At 39.5% G+C, this 15,092-nt stretch overlaps 1 protein-coding gene across 8 annotated transcripts in view, besides 1 other annotated feature; it reads left to right on the top strand.

The window, feature by feature from the left end:
* Window positions 1-15,092, top strand: part of RP1 (RP1 axonemal microtubule associated) — a 312,050-nt gene that overhangs the window by 147,766 nt on the left and 149,192 nt on the right. For all 8 annotated transcript variants that reach the window (XM_047422069.1, XM_047422070.1, XM_047422071.1 and 5 more), the window contains one exon: window positions 13,179-13,356. In XM_047422069.1, coding sequence (XP_047278025.1) covers window positions 13,179-13,356 — 178 coding nt within the window. The remainder of the gene's footprint in view (window positions 1-13,178; window positions 13,357-15,092) is intronic.
* Window positions 4,479-4,773: a silencer, noted in NCBI's record as "tiled region #1198; HepG2 Repressive non-DNase unmatched - State 24:Quies". NCBI's record gives its function as "represses a minimal TATA promoter and a strong SV40 promoter by Sharpr-MPRA in HepG2 cells {active_cell/tissue: HepG2}" and the evidence as "EXISTENCE:reporter gene assay evidence [ECO:0000049][PMID:27701403]".

The following is a 15,092-nucleotide window of genomic DNA, read 5'->3' on the forward strand; positions in this document are numbered from 1 at the left end:
TTCTAACAAGCTCTCAGCTGTGGCTGCTGATGCTGGTCCATGAATGATGCTTTGAGAACCAAGGTTCTAGAAAGGCCAGCTCAACAGTGTCTCCTTACTGCTCCTTTTGGTGCCTGAATTTCCACCACTGGAAACCCTGTACTTGACTAGGAAGCTATTTTAAATTCTAAATATTAGGGGTTTTTCTTTTTGTATTTTTATTTTTAGAGACAGAGTCTCACTCTGTCACCCAGGCTGGAGTGCAGTCATGCAATCTCGGCTCACAGCAGCTCAGGTGATCCTCCTGCCTCAGTCTCCTGAGTAGCTGTGACTACAGGCGCATGCCACCATGCCCTGCTGATTTTTGTACTTTTTGTAGAGAGAGGGTCTCGCCATGTTGCCCAGGCTGGTCTCCAATGTCTAGGCTCAAGAGATCCACTGCCTTGGCCTCCCAAAGTGCTGGAATTATAGGCCTAAGACACTGTGCCCAGACAGGGGTTTTTCTTTAACACCTTGAGCCTTAGGAGGGGATGTGGAAGACAACTAACATAACAGTTTATATATATTCATAATTCTTCTGTGGGGTGAGGAACAAGTAAGATTGCACATTTAACCTCCCTGTTAATGCTCTCCATCTATTATTGTTTAAAATAGTTTAGTTTAAATTAGATCTTCTGAATAAATTCTGAGGTCCGCCCTCTCCCTTCTTACCAGTCATGATGTCTAGCTATAAGGAAGAACTTGCATGAGCTTCTTGGGGTATGAGGAGGGAGGACTTTGACCTTTCATGGTTCCCAGGGTCCCTGTCGGTGCTGCAGACTGGTGAGTTTGTGTCAGGTGAGCTGCACTGATGCTCACAATGCAAAGGCGAAGCACATGCACATACACACGTGTAGTTAATATCCCTGATCTACCCACAAGTGCATAATGAAGTAGATTTTATCACCATTTCACAGAAGAGGAAGCCAAGCTTAAGAGACAAACTCATGCTTGTAGTCTTTACACTGGTAAGTGGACTAATTGGGATAAAAATGAGTAACATTATTACTATGACTAGACTAGTTAGAAGTACAATTTCATCTAATGTTCAGTTACCCCCTAGGACAGAGTGTCCTGGGAGGAAATCAGTAAGTAGCCTTCCTATCCTCAACATTCACAAGTTATACAAGCCTTTCCCTTCTGGGGCTCGCAGGAGTGTTCAGAACCATGAGATAATGTGTCACTATGTAATACATGCTTTTGTGTTTGTGTTTGGAAGTTGCTGGGCAGAGTTTCTAGAGGCACAGGTAAGTGTCACTCCAAAGTGGGAAATGGGTCAACATTGGAAATGTTTATCTTCCCCGGGTAGTAACCAAAGGGATAGCTCAGTGGTTGCTCACTTTCTATTTAGCTGCCTCATACTCTAGCTGAATGGTGATTTCTGGTTTTTTTTTTTTTTCTTTTTTGAGACATAGTCTCACTCTGTTGCCCAGGCTAGAGTGCAGTGGCGCAATCTCGGCTCACTGCAAGCTCCGCCTCCTGGGTTCATGCCATTCTCCTGCCTCAATCTCCAGAGTAGGGACTACAGGTGCCTGCCACCATGCCCAGCTAAATTTTTGTGTTTGTATTTTTAGTAGAGACGGTGTTTCACCGTGTTAGCCAGGATGGTCTCGATCTTCTGACCTCGTGATCCACCTGCCTCAACCTCCCAAAGTGCTGGGATTACAGGCGTGAGCCACTGAGCCCAGCTGAATGGTGATTTCTTGGTTCTTCACTTCCAGCCTGTATGCCTCTCTCTGACTCTTCCATTTTTTTTTTTTTTCTCAGTGTGCTGGTTATCTTTTTCTTCCCAGTGAGTAAACTTCCTCTGTAAGTTTTTAGCAGAATCTTTTTGTCCTACACTTAATATTCATGCTTTTTCTTCCTATTTGTGCTATGGGTGACTCAGCTCTATCTGATGGGGCTGAGGGACTGGAAGAAGTCCTTGGCATTCAATTGAAAGAATCTGGTGATCACAGGAAGTTGGATGGAGTTGTACAGATTAAAACACAGAAGTATTATCCTGCCACAAAGAAACTATTGGCATGCTCATTCTTCAGATGCTGAAGCTGAGTGTGAGCCTGGTTAAGTATCTCACCCAGAGTCCCCAGGTAGCCTTAGAGCTGAGGCTTTGTCCAGGTTTGCCCACTTCCTAAGGCCCCATTGTGGAGGACTGAGAATAACAGGATGGAGAAACTGGTTTTCCCCCATGAGGAGACCAGAGTCAGGATACATGAGGCAGAGGTGATTCTAAACACAAAACCAAAGTTTTCTTTAGAAATTTCCCAAGAACCAGCCTTGTTGACAGCATGTCAGGTGAGTGAGTGGCTCTGAAATGGGTGGGAGAACACTCTGTGCCATGCCAGCCTACGTTGTGCTGCTTTGCATCAATGTTGGAAGCCCCTTCTGTTTTCCCTTCCTGAAGGGCTTCACAGGATGAAATGCCAGGTTCAGGACTTCTGTGTATGTTGGAAGGCAATCATGCTGAGCTGAGCTGAGCTGAGGCAGGCAATCATGCACTGGAGTTTCAAACCCAAGTATCACTTCTTCTTAGAGATATTTCACAATTTGAAAAAAGCCAGAGGCATTTATTCTGTTTGCTTTGGGGAAGAGATAGCCAAAATGGAGAACCCAGTGAAATTGATTGATAAAGGTGAAAGAGCATAAATGAGTTGGTTACACAGAATTTGATATACAGAACATTAAAATAAGAAATATTGCACATAAGGCAGAGATTCTCTAGGCCTTTTGGAGATAAGCACACCATAGCTAGGTTACATGAGCCTTGTCCAGAGGGTTAAGGTCACTCCTCTGAGGCCTCTGAAGGCAACACATGTGTGTAAAGTAGTAGCTAAATGCAAAAAACACTGGTAAGGGGAGCTGTGTAAAGGGGCAAACCAGAAATAACAGGTCCATATATGCTGGGGTGTTACTCAAAATACTGTATTTAACAAGCAGTTTGGTACACTGAAACTCCTGGAGTGCAACCTTCAGGACAAGCAAGGAGCAAGGATCCTTGAAGGTCCAAGATGTGGATGAGGTATTGGCTGGCCATGCCATCAGGGCCCCATGTTTTTGTGCTGGGATCCAGGCCCTGACGCCTAACCCTGGCAGTGGGCTGTGACCTCTAGGGGTTCTCCCATTCTAGGGCAACCAGAACATGAGGGAGACACAAGGGGGCTTAGACGATGGCTATTCATCATCCAATATGAAAATATTGATGCAGGATATTTTCTTGACCCCTTTGCAGGTCTTGCAACAGGGGTGCCCATTTTACTTAGCCTGCCCCGCTCAACCCTTCATGGGAGGGAGCACGCGAGCAAACAAGTGCAGGCACTGGAGCAAGTGAGTGCAAAAACTGGCCAGCTGCTTTAGCACCAGCAGGAGCAAACTCTGTGCAGGCCCCATGGCAGCATCCAGATGGGGGTGCCTGCAACCCCAAGGTCCCAGAAGGGGTGTGTTACAATGCTCTGTTAGTCCCACCGTCTGTAGACAGCAGTGTGTTATCAGTTCTGTGGGCCCTTTGCCTCGTTGTGTAGGGCAGCTGCCCTCCACTGGTGAGGGCAAAGGGCCAGTGTGACAGCCTTTTTGGCTACCCGCACTTGGTGCATCCTGAATTTTTGTCCACCACCCAAGAAGAATGAGGTCACATGGACAAATTGAAGGATGGTGAATGTGGAGAATTTTATTGAGCAATGAAAGTCGCTGTCAGCGGAGAGGGGAGCTGGAAAAAGGATGGGAAGGGCAGGTCACTCTACCCTGAAGTTAAGCCACCTCTGCCTCATCCAGCCGCTGTCTCTGAAGTCAAGTTGCCTCTCCCTGATGTCCAGCTGCTTATCCTCTCTACCGACTGAGTCTGGGTCTTTATAGGCACAGGATGGGGAGGTGGGGCAGGCCATAGGTAGTTTTGGAAAAGGCAACATTCGACTGGTAAAAAGACATTATTCAGAAAGAAACAATCAGGAGAGAGCCGACACACAAGGATGGAAGTTTTCACTTTGGGCTGTGGGTTTCAGGCTTTTCACCTCAAAGGTGGAGTTTTGCCAGGGGCCACTCCTGTCTGCCTAGCGTTTCTCTGACTCCTGTTGCTGTCAATATTACAGTATTTAAAAAATGTATCTGGCTCTACCAATGTGTATCAGTTCAGTGTCAATCCCCAGAATAAGGTGAGGTGAGTGTAATCCTTGAGGATTACAGAGAAAATACTGTTACTATGTTTTTTTAATAGACATTTGTAAAAATCTTTAGCTTAACGTTAAGGTTTTGAAGATCTTCCTGGCCTACATCATACTGTACATCGGTAACTTTTGCCCTTCTGCCTCCTAAACTCAGAGGCTCAGAGGCTCAAACATTCTCTAGAGGTTTCTAGCTTCCTATTATTTCTGTTAAAAATTCCAATCCTGTTCTTGGAAGATTATTGCATTGGAAAGTTATTGCTAAAAGATTTGAAATTTTACACAGCCTGTCCATAAAGCCAGAAGCTCTTGAATACTCTGTAAATCATAGGAAAGTGTGGCACTGCTTTGGCCAGTGGTGAATTCCCTGATACTATAACCAGATCAGCAAGACAAAGGGAGGAGGCTGACTGTATTTTTAGTGTCTAACTGCATTCCAAGGCTGAGCGAGCGCTCTTAGGTTTGTAGTAACGCCTCCTAACCCTAAGCTCACACAGCAACCAATTAGGAAAGCAAACACCTGCAGCAGGTCTTCACCTAAAACTGACCCATGTAAATGATCTTATGACTCCTTTTGTGTAGTTATTAAAAGATTTGCCAGGGATGGAGAGTTTCTTTTCTAAATTTAATGATTGTAAATGTAGGAGACAAAACATGATTTTTTTTTTTCACCCATTGCAAGCTTCCCGGCTGAGACCCATAACAAAAAAACAGATTAATAAGAGAAAAGCATACAAATTCACTTCAATAAGTTCTGTGTAGCTCAGGAGGCTTAAGAAATGATCCAAAGACCTAGGGAAAACTTTGTAATTTTATAGATACTTATGCAGAAGTATAATTGGAGAACCAAAGGGTATGATCTAATGGTAATGAACTGTGGGGAACTTAGTAAGGCCTGTCCAGGTTTTTCTTGGAGTCACTGTGTGATATTTCTTTCCTCCAGGTATGAAGTAAGACACCTGTCACATGAAGATCTTTAGGGGAAACAAGGAGAGGGAAGGTCAGAGAGGTGACCTTTCCAGGTTTTGTGGGCTGGTTCCTGGGAGAAGAAGCAAGAGGAATTCTAGTTTCTGTGGCCTACATCGGGAGAGACAGGGGAGAGGGAATTTCAGTTTCTATGGCCCACTTCAGGAGAGAGTGGGCTGGAGAGGGTCTGGGAGACCGTCCTGCTTCCACAGTTTTCTCATTTCCTTCAGCTTAAAATACTCACTGTGCCAAGATGCCATATTTTAGGGTAGTGTTTCCTGCATTCCATCATAAGTATCAGGCCTGGTCCAGAGCTGTGGTGTCCTAGCTCTTCACTGGGATTGGCCCCTTGAGTGTGGCTTCTCACACATGCTGTCACTGAACATCAGGGTTCTCCTGTGGGTCACCAGTTGTTTTGTGCATTAACAATATGTCATTAGCAGAGGCCTAAAGGAGCACTCTGAGCCTACCTCCTGATGGTGTCTGCCACTCAGAAAATATTGATTTTTAACCTTTACTCTGGTACTTTTATAGAGAAGAGCCTCCACAGAAAACTCCTCATTTATGTTTTACTTCTGCTACTTCCATTGTAGTGTTTTCTTTGACTTGTTTAATGACTCATTGATTTCGTTGTCTTACTTTAAAATTCTCCATCTCAAATTTTGGTAGTGAGTCATTTTACTCAAAATGCCTGTGCTTCCTTGTTCTTAAGAAATAGTATTGATACATAACAACGAAGCATATTATTTTTCACTTTCATTATATCTGACTAAGAACCACTAGACTGGAATGACATTACCCTTGAAAACAGAATGAAAACAGTCCTCTTAATTACCCTAGTTTGCGTATGTTTAGAGGCTATGGTAAGGCATGCTTATAATCTCCAAAGGGATTTAAGATGCATTCAAAGGTAAATGGTAATGCATGGTCATGTTACTATACCTTAAAAACCCAACAGTGCCTCAGTCCTGGTAGCTACTCAAGAAATGCTTTTTTTTTTTTGTACTAAATTGAATTGAATAAAAACATTAATGGTTCCAACATGTCTGCTGTTGTAAATTTGGAAACATTTTTATAGGCAAATACACTTACATTTAAATAAAGTGACACTGATCCTATAACAAATATTTCTGTTTCTGTTACCATGAAATTTTTATCTTGTATAAGTAAATCACCTTAATAGATTTGATGTAATCGAAATTCAGGTTAGTAACAAACAGCAGGCCGTTCATAGGGACATTTGTAAGGGTGTTAATTTAAAGAAGAAAAATAAACTTTAAAATAACATGGGTGGAACTCACTAAGCATGAATACAAAGGAAAAAAAGATGTAGGAATTGTAGGAAAAATAAGCTCAAGTGTGATCACTGTAACCAAGATATGCACACAGACATACCCCACACTGGCAGGATACTTGTCTATGGGCAAGAGTTTAGTTTGTAGAAACTAGGAAAGATTCTCTCATTGTGGATTTGTCTAATTTTGCCTCTTCATTCAAAGTATATTCTACGCATGCAAATTAAAAAATTAAAGGTAATTCATATTTATAAGAAGTTGAAATATAAAAACACATGAAAGCATATAGATGAAGTTAGGTTTACACGGTGCTAGACCAGTGGGTTGGAAAGTATAAAATTCAGTGAAAGTCTTAGTTTTATGTAAAAATTATAAATCGTGTTTTACCTAATCAAAAAATTTAAAAAACTTGATCTGAATAAAATTGTGTTTACATACATAGCTACATGCAAGATAAATTATTTTGTTTGAATTTTCTAAAAAATGGTCTTACATTTCACTATTACTGAAATTGCCTTTGCAAAAATTATGTTAGTGGGAAAAATCTGACGTAGGAAAATTATGGCAGTGAAAGAAATTTGACCTAACAGATTCCATCTTGCTTCTAACCTGCAAACTGTCTTCCTCCATGTCCTGGGTTCAGGTGATTCTCCTGCCTCAGCTTCCCGAGTAGCTGGGGTTACAGATGCCCACCACCACGCCCAGCTAATTTTTGTATTTTTAGTAGATACGGGGTTTCACCATGTTGTCCAGGATGGTCTCAAACTGCTGATCTCAGGTGATCCACCTGCCTCAGCCTCCCAAAGTGCTGGGATTACAGGCGTGAGCCACCGCACCCAGCCTGTAGTTTAACTTAGAAACAAAGATAATAACAGTCCCTCTCTGTAACAAACCCCTTCCTTGTTTAGGCACCAGACAGACTTGGTAAAACTAACAAATTAGCCACAAGATTAAAAATTATGGCTCAGGAGTCATGCAGCCAGACTCCAGACCTTTCCAATTGTTCCTATGGATAACATCACTATTGTAAAATCTAAGATTGGAGTTTGGGGTATTTTTCAGACCCTGCATTCTGATGGACCAGCTGGTGCCACCCACACTAGTAAACTGGCTCAACTAATTATGTGTCACCCACCCAGGAACTGAAGACAGCAAGAAGACAGCTTCAGCTCCCTATGATTTCATCCCTGACCCAACCAATCAGCAGCATTCCCCACTCTCTAGCCTCGTGCCTGCCAAACTGTCTTTAAAAACCCTGGCCTCCAAAAATTTGGGGGAGGTTAATCTGAGTAATAATAAAACTCCAGTCTCCCATTTAGCCTGCTCTGCATGCATTAAACTCATTCTCTGTTGCAATTCCTCCATCTTCATAAACTAGCTGTATCTGGGCAGCTGGCAAGATGAACTTGTCAGTGGTGACTTTGTTGTAGATCACAGTCTATGTATTTAATCTTTACAGCATGAAAGAGATTTGAAGAATATACAGTGGGCCTTAAGGACAGCAACAAAGATTTCCCCTATCAGGGGCAAATAGCCTTTAAGAAAGGAATAAATTGCTGAGTGATTCATCTTGGAAAAGAGAAGGCATAATAATACTCCAGTGTGTAGAATGTATACTACTAGGATGTGGGCACCACAGTGGGGAGAGTTTTGTTTGCTTTGTTTATTGAAATATCCCAAACTGTACAGCAAGAACTGACGTTTTGGTAAGTGCTTGACAAATATTAAGTATGAAAAGTTAAAATATCACTTGGGTGATGGTAACTAGGAGTTGTTCTACTGCAACAGAGCCAAATAGAGGGAAATGGGCATTAGATGTTATGGTAGCTTGCAGTGGTGTGAGCATGCATCAGATATTCTAACCTGGCTATGTCTAGTTGCTGTTTGCTGCAGATGTGTAGGAAGGCGCACCTTTTGCAGTCAGAACTCATGTTTTATTTCCCATCTACATCTCTTTAATCAGTTTGTATTTGAGTTAGGGATGAAGCAGAGATTTTTAAATGAAAGCAGGAAAGAGGAAATAAAGGAAACTAAAGGTTTATTGTTTTGAAATGTAGTTATATTCAATTTTTATTATTTTCACTAATTATACTTAGTGGAGGTTAAAAATACCATTCCTTCAGGCACTGTTAGAGGGGACAAATACGCATACCACATTGATCTGGAGAACAATAGTTAATTGGTAATCCCTTTCAAGTTGTGGTTCAGGTGTTTCTGCGAAGGCTCAGGAGAGGCAGGTTGATTTGAGCAGAGTGGGTGAGTAGAAGTTTCCTAGAATGGTGAATTTTAGAGCAAGAGAATAATTCCACTTTTCTTTATCAAAGAGAGGAGAGGACATTACATGAACAAATTATGAGATTAGAAATTAGTAAAAAGAAATTTAGAGTTAACAGATACTGAGTTTCTACTGAAATGCAGAAACTGCTCGTCACTAGTGCTACAGTAGATATACTAAGACATGCTCCCTGCTCTCAGGAAACTTGTGATTTAAAAGGGGAAAAGAAGAACGTAAACAGACAAATACGCCATAGTGTGCAAAGTTCAATACCAGAAGTAAGTACCAAGTTCAGTGTTGGTTTGGAAATTTTCTATTGTGTAAGTCATGAGCAATTCCTTGAGATCTTTAATGTAAAATGACATTGATTTTTAATACGTTATCTGTTCTAAGTTTGGGGAGATAGTGGTTTGGGAATGATATTCAAGTTCATAAATCTGGCCTCACTGTGGAAGATGTGCTAGTTTATTGAGAACCGGAAGTTTGGAAGAGTAGCTACGAGATTACTATAATGAAACACAGTTTGGCTGAAAAGCCCATAATTTATCTAAAGTGCACTAGTAATCCTAGTATGTTCCAGTGTGCTTAGTTTGACTGATGGATTTCTTTTTTTCTGTCAGAATATGCTTGTATATCTTGGTTTCTATCTAGTTGAAAGATTAGTCCTTTACAGGTCAATAATAATTTTTTTAAATTATTTATTCTTTTTTTCTCCTTTCCCTCATCCTTGTTTGATATCTTGGTACAAAGACTTAAAAAAAAATCATGGAAAAAGGCCACGGGACATAGACCATTCTTGAGGTCCACACTGGTCTTTACTGAAGTGTGGCTGATTTGGTTTGTCCCTGAATGTGGATATACCAATTGTGTTTAATTTCAAATATGACTGATATTATAATCAGAGCATTTTGGGCAACATAGGGCTTGAGAGTCTTGCATAACCTCTGGTCTTAATGGTCCTAACTCAGTGGGCAGCTTGTAGCAAATCCAGCCCTCTCCCAGATCTCCAGTCCTCTCAATAATTGAGTCTGCCATTAAGGCATGGGATAACTTCTAGATCTCCTGATGTCTCCATGTGAGCTGCGGAGAAGCTAGGAAGCTGTATCAGTGTTACTTTCTCAGACTCCCTCCTTGAGCATTTCTAATCCATCTTCTGGATGTCCCCATGTTGCTCTAGTACTATGCTAAACACTGGGATACTCTAAGGGGAGTGTGTAAGTTTCCTGGGATAGCCCCTCAGCTGTTGAGATTCTCTCCCAAAATATATGGATGATTCTAATGCCCCTTATTTCTTTGCTACACCAAGAATCAACTCCAAGTGGAGTTGTCTCTCTTCTAGTCATTTGTCCCAGGCCCCTCCTTTCAGAATCGGATGCACCTCTCTTCTTGTGGGGTGGCAGTTTTCTCTATGTAATATATGGTATCTACCTTTTCAGTGGCTTCATCATTTAAACTCTCAGGTGTCCCGTCCTCCAGGTTCTAGGAATATTTTCAATTTTGGAATTTCTTTTGTCAACCATTTTCTCTCTCAATAAACTTGCTTTTACAAATAAAAAGCACCTTTTTAAATCTTAATTTACTACAGATTTGTTAAAACCCTTCCATTTGGAAGCTCAAAGCTGAGCAAAGATGTTTTTGCTCTAGGCTGGATTCTTCTTACGCCAACACAATGAGTATTGTTGATTTAGTAGGTAAGAGAGCCTTGGAAGAATTAGCAATGAGAATATATTAGTTAAATAATTCACAAATATTATCCTTACTTGAGTTAGATCTAGGAATGAGGTGATGGGGCCTAAAATCTGGGAAGTAATGACAAAACTGGAGAGTTTGAGTCAAATTTGATAGATCATGTGGATTACTGAATATTAATGGCTGATTGAATATTGGTGGTGAAATAAAAAGACTAACTTTCAGTAAACTATGAATAGATGGGAACTTTCTCAACTTGATTAAGAATACCTACAAAAAACTTGCAGCTAATATTATACTTAATAGTGAGAAACTGGATGCTTTTTCTTTAAGATCAAGAACAAAGCAAGGACATCTCTCACCACTCCAATATTATATAGGAAGTCTTAGCTAATCAATAAGACAGAAAAAGGAAACAAAATGTATACAGATTGGGAAGGAAGAAATAAAACTCTCTTGGCTCACAGATGATATTAGTCTTTATGTAGGTAATCCCAAAGAATCAACAAAACAATTTCAGAATCAGTAAGTGTTTATAGTGAGGTTGCAATGTACGAGGCTAATATACAAATTTTCATTGCATTCCTATATACTAGCAATGAACAATTGGAATTTAAAATTAAAAACATAATTCCAGTTATATTAGTATAAAAATGTACAAATCTAACAAAATATATTCTGGATCTCTATGTGGAAAACTAGAAAATACTGATGAAAAAAATCAAAGAAAATTTAAATAAATGGACAGATATTCCTTGTTTATATATTGGAAGACTCAAGGTTGTTGTCAGTTCTTACCAACTTTATCATAGATTCAATACAATTCCAGTCAAAATTCCAGCAAGCTATTTTGTGGCTATCTATAAGCTGGTCCTGAGTTTATATGAAAAGGCAACAGACCCAGAATAGCCAACATAATACTGAAGAAGAACAAAGTTAGAATACTGAAACTACCTACATTTAAGATTTGCTATAAAGCTATAGAAATCAAGACAGTGTGTTATTGATGAAAGAAAAGGCACAGAGATCAATGGAGCAGAATAGAAAGCCTAGAAATAGACCCACACAAATACAGTGAAGTGATCTTTGACAAAGGAGCAAAGGGAACTCAATGGAGAAAGGGTAGACTTTTCAACAAATGGTACTGGAACAATTGGATGTCCATATGCCTACAAACGAATCTAGACCCAGAGCTTAAACATGTCCATGAATGTTTGTACCAGCTTTTTTCATAATCACCCCAAACTGGAAACAACCAAGATGTCCTTCAGTAGGTGAATGTGTAAATTTTGGTACATTGGTACAATGGAGTATTATTCATCAGTAAAAAGAAATGAGCCATGAAAAGACATTGAGGAAACTTAAATGCATATTGCAAGAAGCCAGTATGATAAGATTACATATTATACCATTCCAATTATAGGACATTCTGGAAAATGCAAAGCTATAGACACAGTAAAATAATCAGTGGTTGCTAGGGGTTTGAGGGAAGTATGGAAAGGATAAATAGATGAAGCATAGGGGATCTTTAGGGCAGTACAGTTATTCTGTATGCCATTGTAATAACAGATACAAGACATTATAGATTTGTTAAAACCCACAGAATTGTATAGCACAAAGAGTAAACCTTAATGTATGCAAATACATCATTTAGGAGGTTTGGGAATCTCAGGAAACAACACAGATGGTCTATGGTAAGGCCCAAACTTCCTATGCTGCAACAAACTGAAGCTGCTTTTCTGTACTTACCTTCTGTATTGTTCAGCATCATTAAGGTGCTTGTTCATCCATACACCATGCTGCCTATGGCCCCTCTGTCTTAGTTTATGGTGCCCCTCCACCTGAAATTTCCTATCCCTACCCCCAGCTCACCTTCCCCTACTTATTATCTGTATATGTGGTTGTCTTCTCTACTCGACCATGAACAATGCAAGGCCAGAATCTTATTGAATTTAGAACAAGAACAGAAGATAGAAATTGCTTACTTTATAAAAAGCGAGAGAGAAAGAGAGAGAGACTCCCTTGGTTCTTACTGAAAGAAGCTCACATTTGAGGGGAGACCAGAATATAATTTGTATCACAAATAAAATACTAGTTGCTATTGGAAATTTTAATCCATCCTTACAAAAGTCATTAGTTGGGACTGAAATCCTATAAAGAAACTTTTAAAACAGTGAAAGGCAAAATATTTTCTAATATTAGATTATAAATGGCTTAAAGAATGGAGAAGTGTTATAATAATCTGAGGGTGTATAGATTACTGCTAGGCATTCGATTCTTGAATATTTTCCTCTACAGTCTTTGCATCATTTGTGTGCATGCTGTTTATGAAAATTCAATCTGGAAAATGCAGAATAGCACAGAAAATTGGTTTACATTTAAATGTAAATTGACTTATGGTAAGAATAGCACTTTTCCCACCATTTTAGAGTATTTTCTAAAAGAAAAGTTCCACATTTTAATGTTCTACATTCACCCATAGAGGTGAGCAACTCTAAAATGAAATACAGCATATACAACACTCTCCTTAGTTGAAGCTCTTATGCTATTCAGAGTTTTTTGTCCAAAGGCATGTGTCCTTGCCTCAACCCATCATGTGGTCTCTGTTTCTGGATCTTGTGAAATAGGATGAAGCACACAGGGCAATTTACGTAAAAAGGCTCTAGATTTATCATAGTGATTCGAAACGAGACAAAATTATATTCTTTTAAAACGACTGGTTTTAAATTCTGTCTTTTAGGACTTGCTCACATTTATTGAATCATTTTGTATTGATTGTAGGGTACAGGAGATGTTGACTGTCATTTTAAAATTAAGAAGAACTTGAAGAATGCATCCATAAGCCTGGAATCTACGAAGAGCCCAGGATTGTTTGTTGGACTTCAGTCAGATGGGCAGGCAAAACCAATGATTTATACCAAGGATGAGAATGTTTGCTTCTATCCACAAGTCATCCAATGTATGTTTACTCTGAAATGCTTTGATTTTTGGTTTGCTTTATGATGGTTTGTGTACAGTGTCTGAAAATTTCATCACATTTTTACTAAGCAAATCTCTGCTGCTAGGCTTTTTTGTTTGTTGTCATTCCAGAAGCAATGGAAGGAAAACATAATGAAGACCAGTTGCCTCAAGTTTTCAGATAATTAATATTAGGTATAGAGTTTTTGCTACATTGAACTTCTTTGTAACTTTGAAAGTTATGTGTGTGCATTCGTGTGTCTGTGTACATGTGCATGTTTGAATCTTTGTTTTTTAAGGATAGCTTCATGTACCCTGAGAGGGATGAGGCTGTTAGAAATATTCTCAGATTCATTGCTATTAATTTTTAATGGTTGCAGTATAAAAAGAGATGGAATAAAGATCAACACAATTGGGATTTGGATTAAAAATAGGATTTGGAAAAAATTTCAAGATAGGACAGAAATGTGAATATTTTGAAACTGGTTTCTCTCATATCTAAGTTCCTGTTCTCTAGCAAATTGAAATGAAGATATGAGGACATTATTTAAACATGTATTTGTGTTCAAACCTTAAAATGTGTTTGAACACAAAGGCTAGTAAAGTAACTCTATTGTATTTTTCAATTACCTTGAAGTTTAGATTGCTATCTAATTTTTGCTTGATATGGTTCCCTGAATTTTGGCTTACTCAATATCTGTGTCATTTTCTTAGTCTGACTTTTGTTTAGCTTCTATTGGCTTATGAGAGTACATGTTTACTGTATGTGTATATATAATATCCCACAGAAGATAGCTTAGAATAGGAATAAAATGAGCCTGATGTAACATGATGGTATATTTGGTCCTGTTCTTCACTCTATCTGCATCAACTTCTTTTCAGCCTTTAGTTGCTTTTTTAAAAATTTTGCAAACTGTTGGGCTAGTATACCTGAGTTTACTGCCATCCATACCACCACTCCCTCCACCCTTCATTTTCCTACAGGCTGTCACAGAGTGGCATTCTGCCTTGACACAGTGAGTATGCCATCTGCCTCTGGAGCTCTGAAGGGAAACAGGTGACTTCAAAGCTAGCAGAAGAATACAGGAGTAGAAAAAGAGCAGTGGGAAATAGCTAGCAGGGGTCAGCTGCCATGCTGGAAGAGCACAGGGAGAAAACAGAAATGACCAGAAAGCAGGTAGAGATGAAAAGGTGAAAAAGAAGAGATTGAAATAATAGAAAAAGAAATGAGAAGAAGAAAAGTAATTTGTGGCAAGACATAAGAGAGAAATAATAAAAGGCCACATTTGTCAACCTTAGGGTATTAGTACTAAAAGAACCAATAGAAACAAAGCCATTCTTCTTTACAGCCCCTAAAATTTAGTTCTGTTACTATAGCATGGATGGTTTATGTTTTCTTCTCTATTTACTAGAGGCAACCTCCTGCTTTAACAAGGGCAAGAATGCAGGAGACATTGCTTTAGAAATTTTATTGAAGATTCATGAATCCTAGGAATTCTGAGGAAGGGTTTGAAAGCATCAACATTTCTTCAAAATACAAAATAATACTTTCCAGTTTCACAAGAAGAGCATTCCATTGGGATTTCTGAGTGTTAAAAACTCTATCTTAGGGGATTTTGTGAAGAGTGACAGAATGTTTATGTAAAAGTTTGTAGGGCCGGGCACTGTGGCTCACGCTTATAATCCCAGCACTTTGGGAGGCCAAGATGGGTGGATCACTTGAGGCCAGGAATTTGA

Source organism: Homo sapiens, chromosome 8, assembly GCF_000001405.40.
Source record: "Homo sapiens chromosome 8, GRCh38.p14 Primary Assembly".
Classification (NCBI taxonomy): domain Eukaryota; kingdom Metazoa; phylum Chordata; class Mammalia; order Primates; family Hominidae; genus Homo; species Homo sapiens.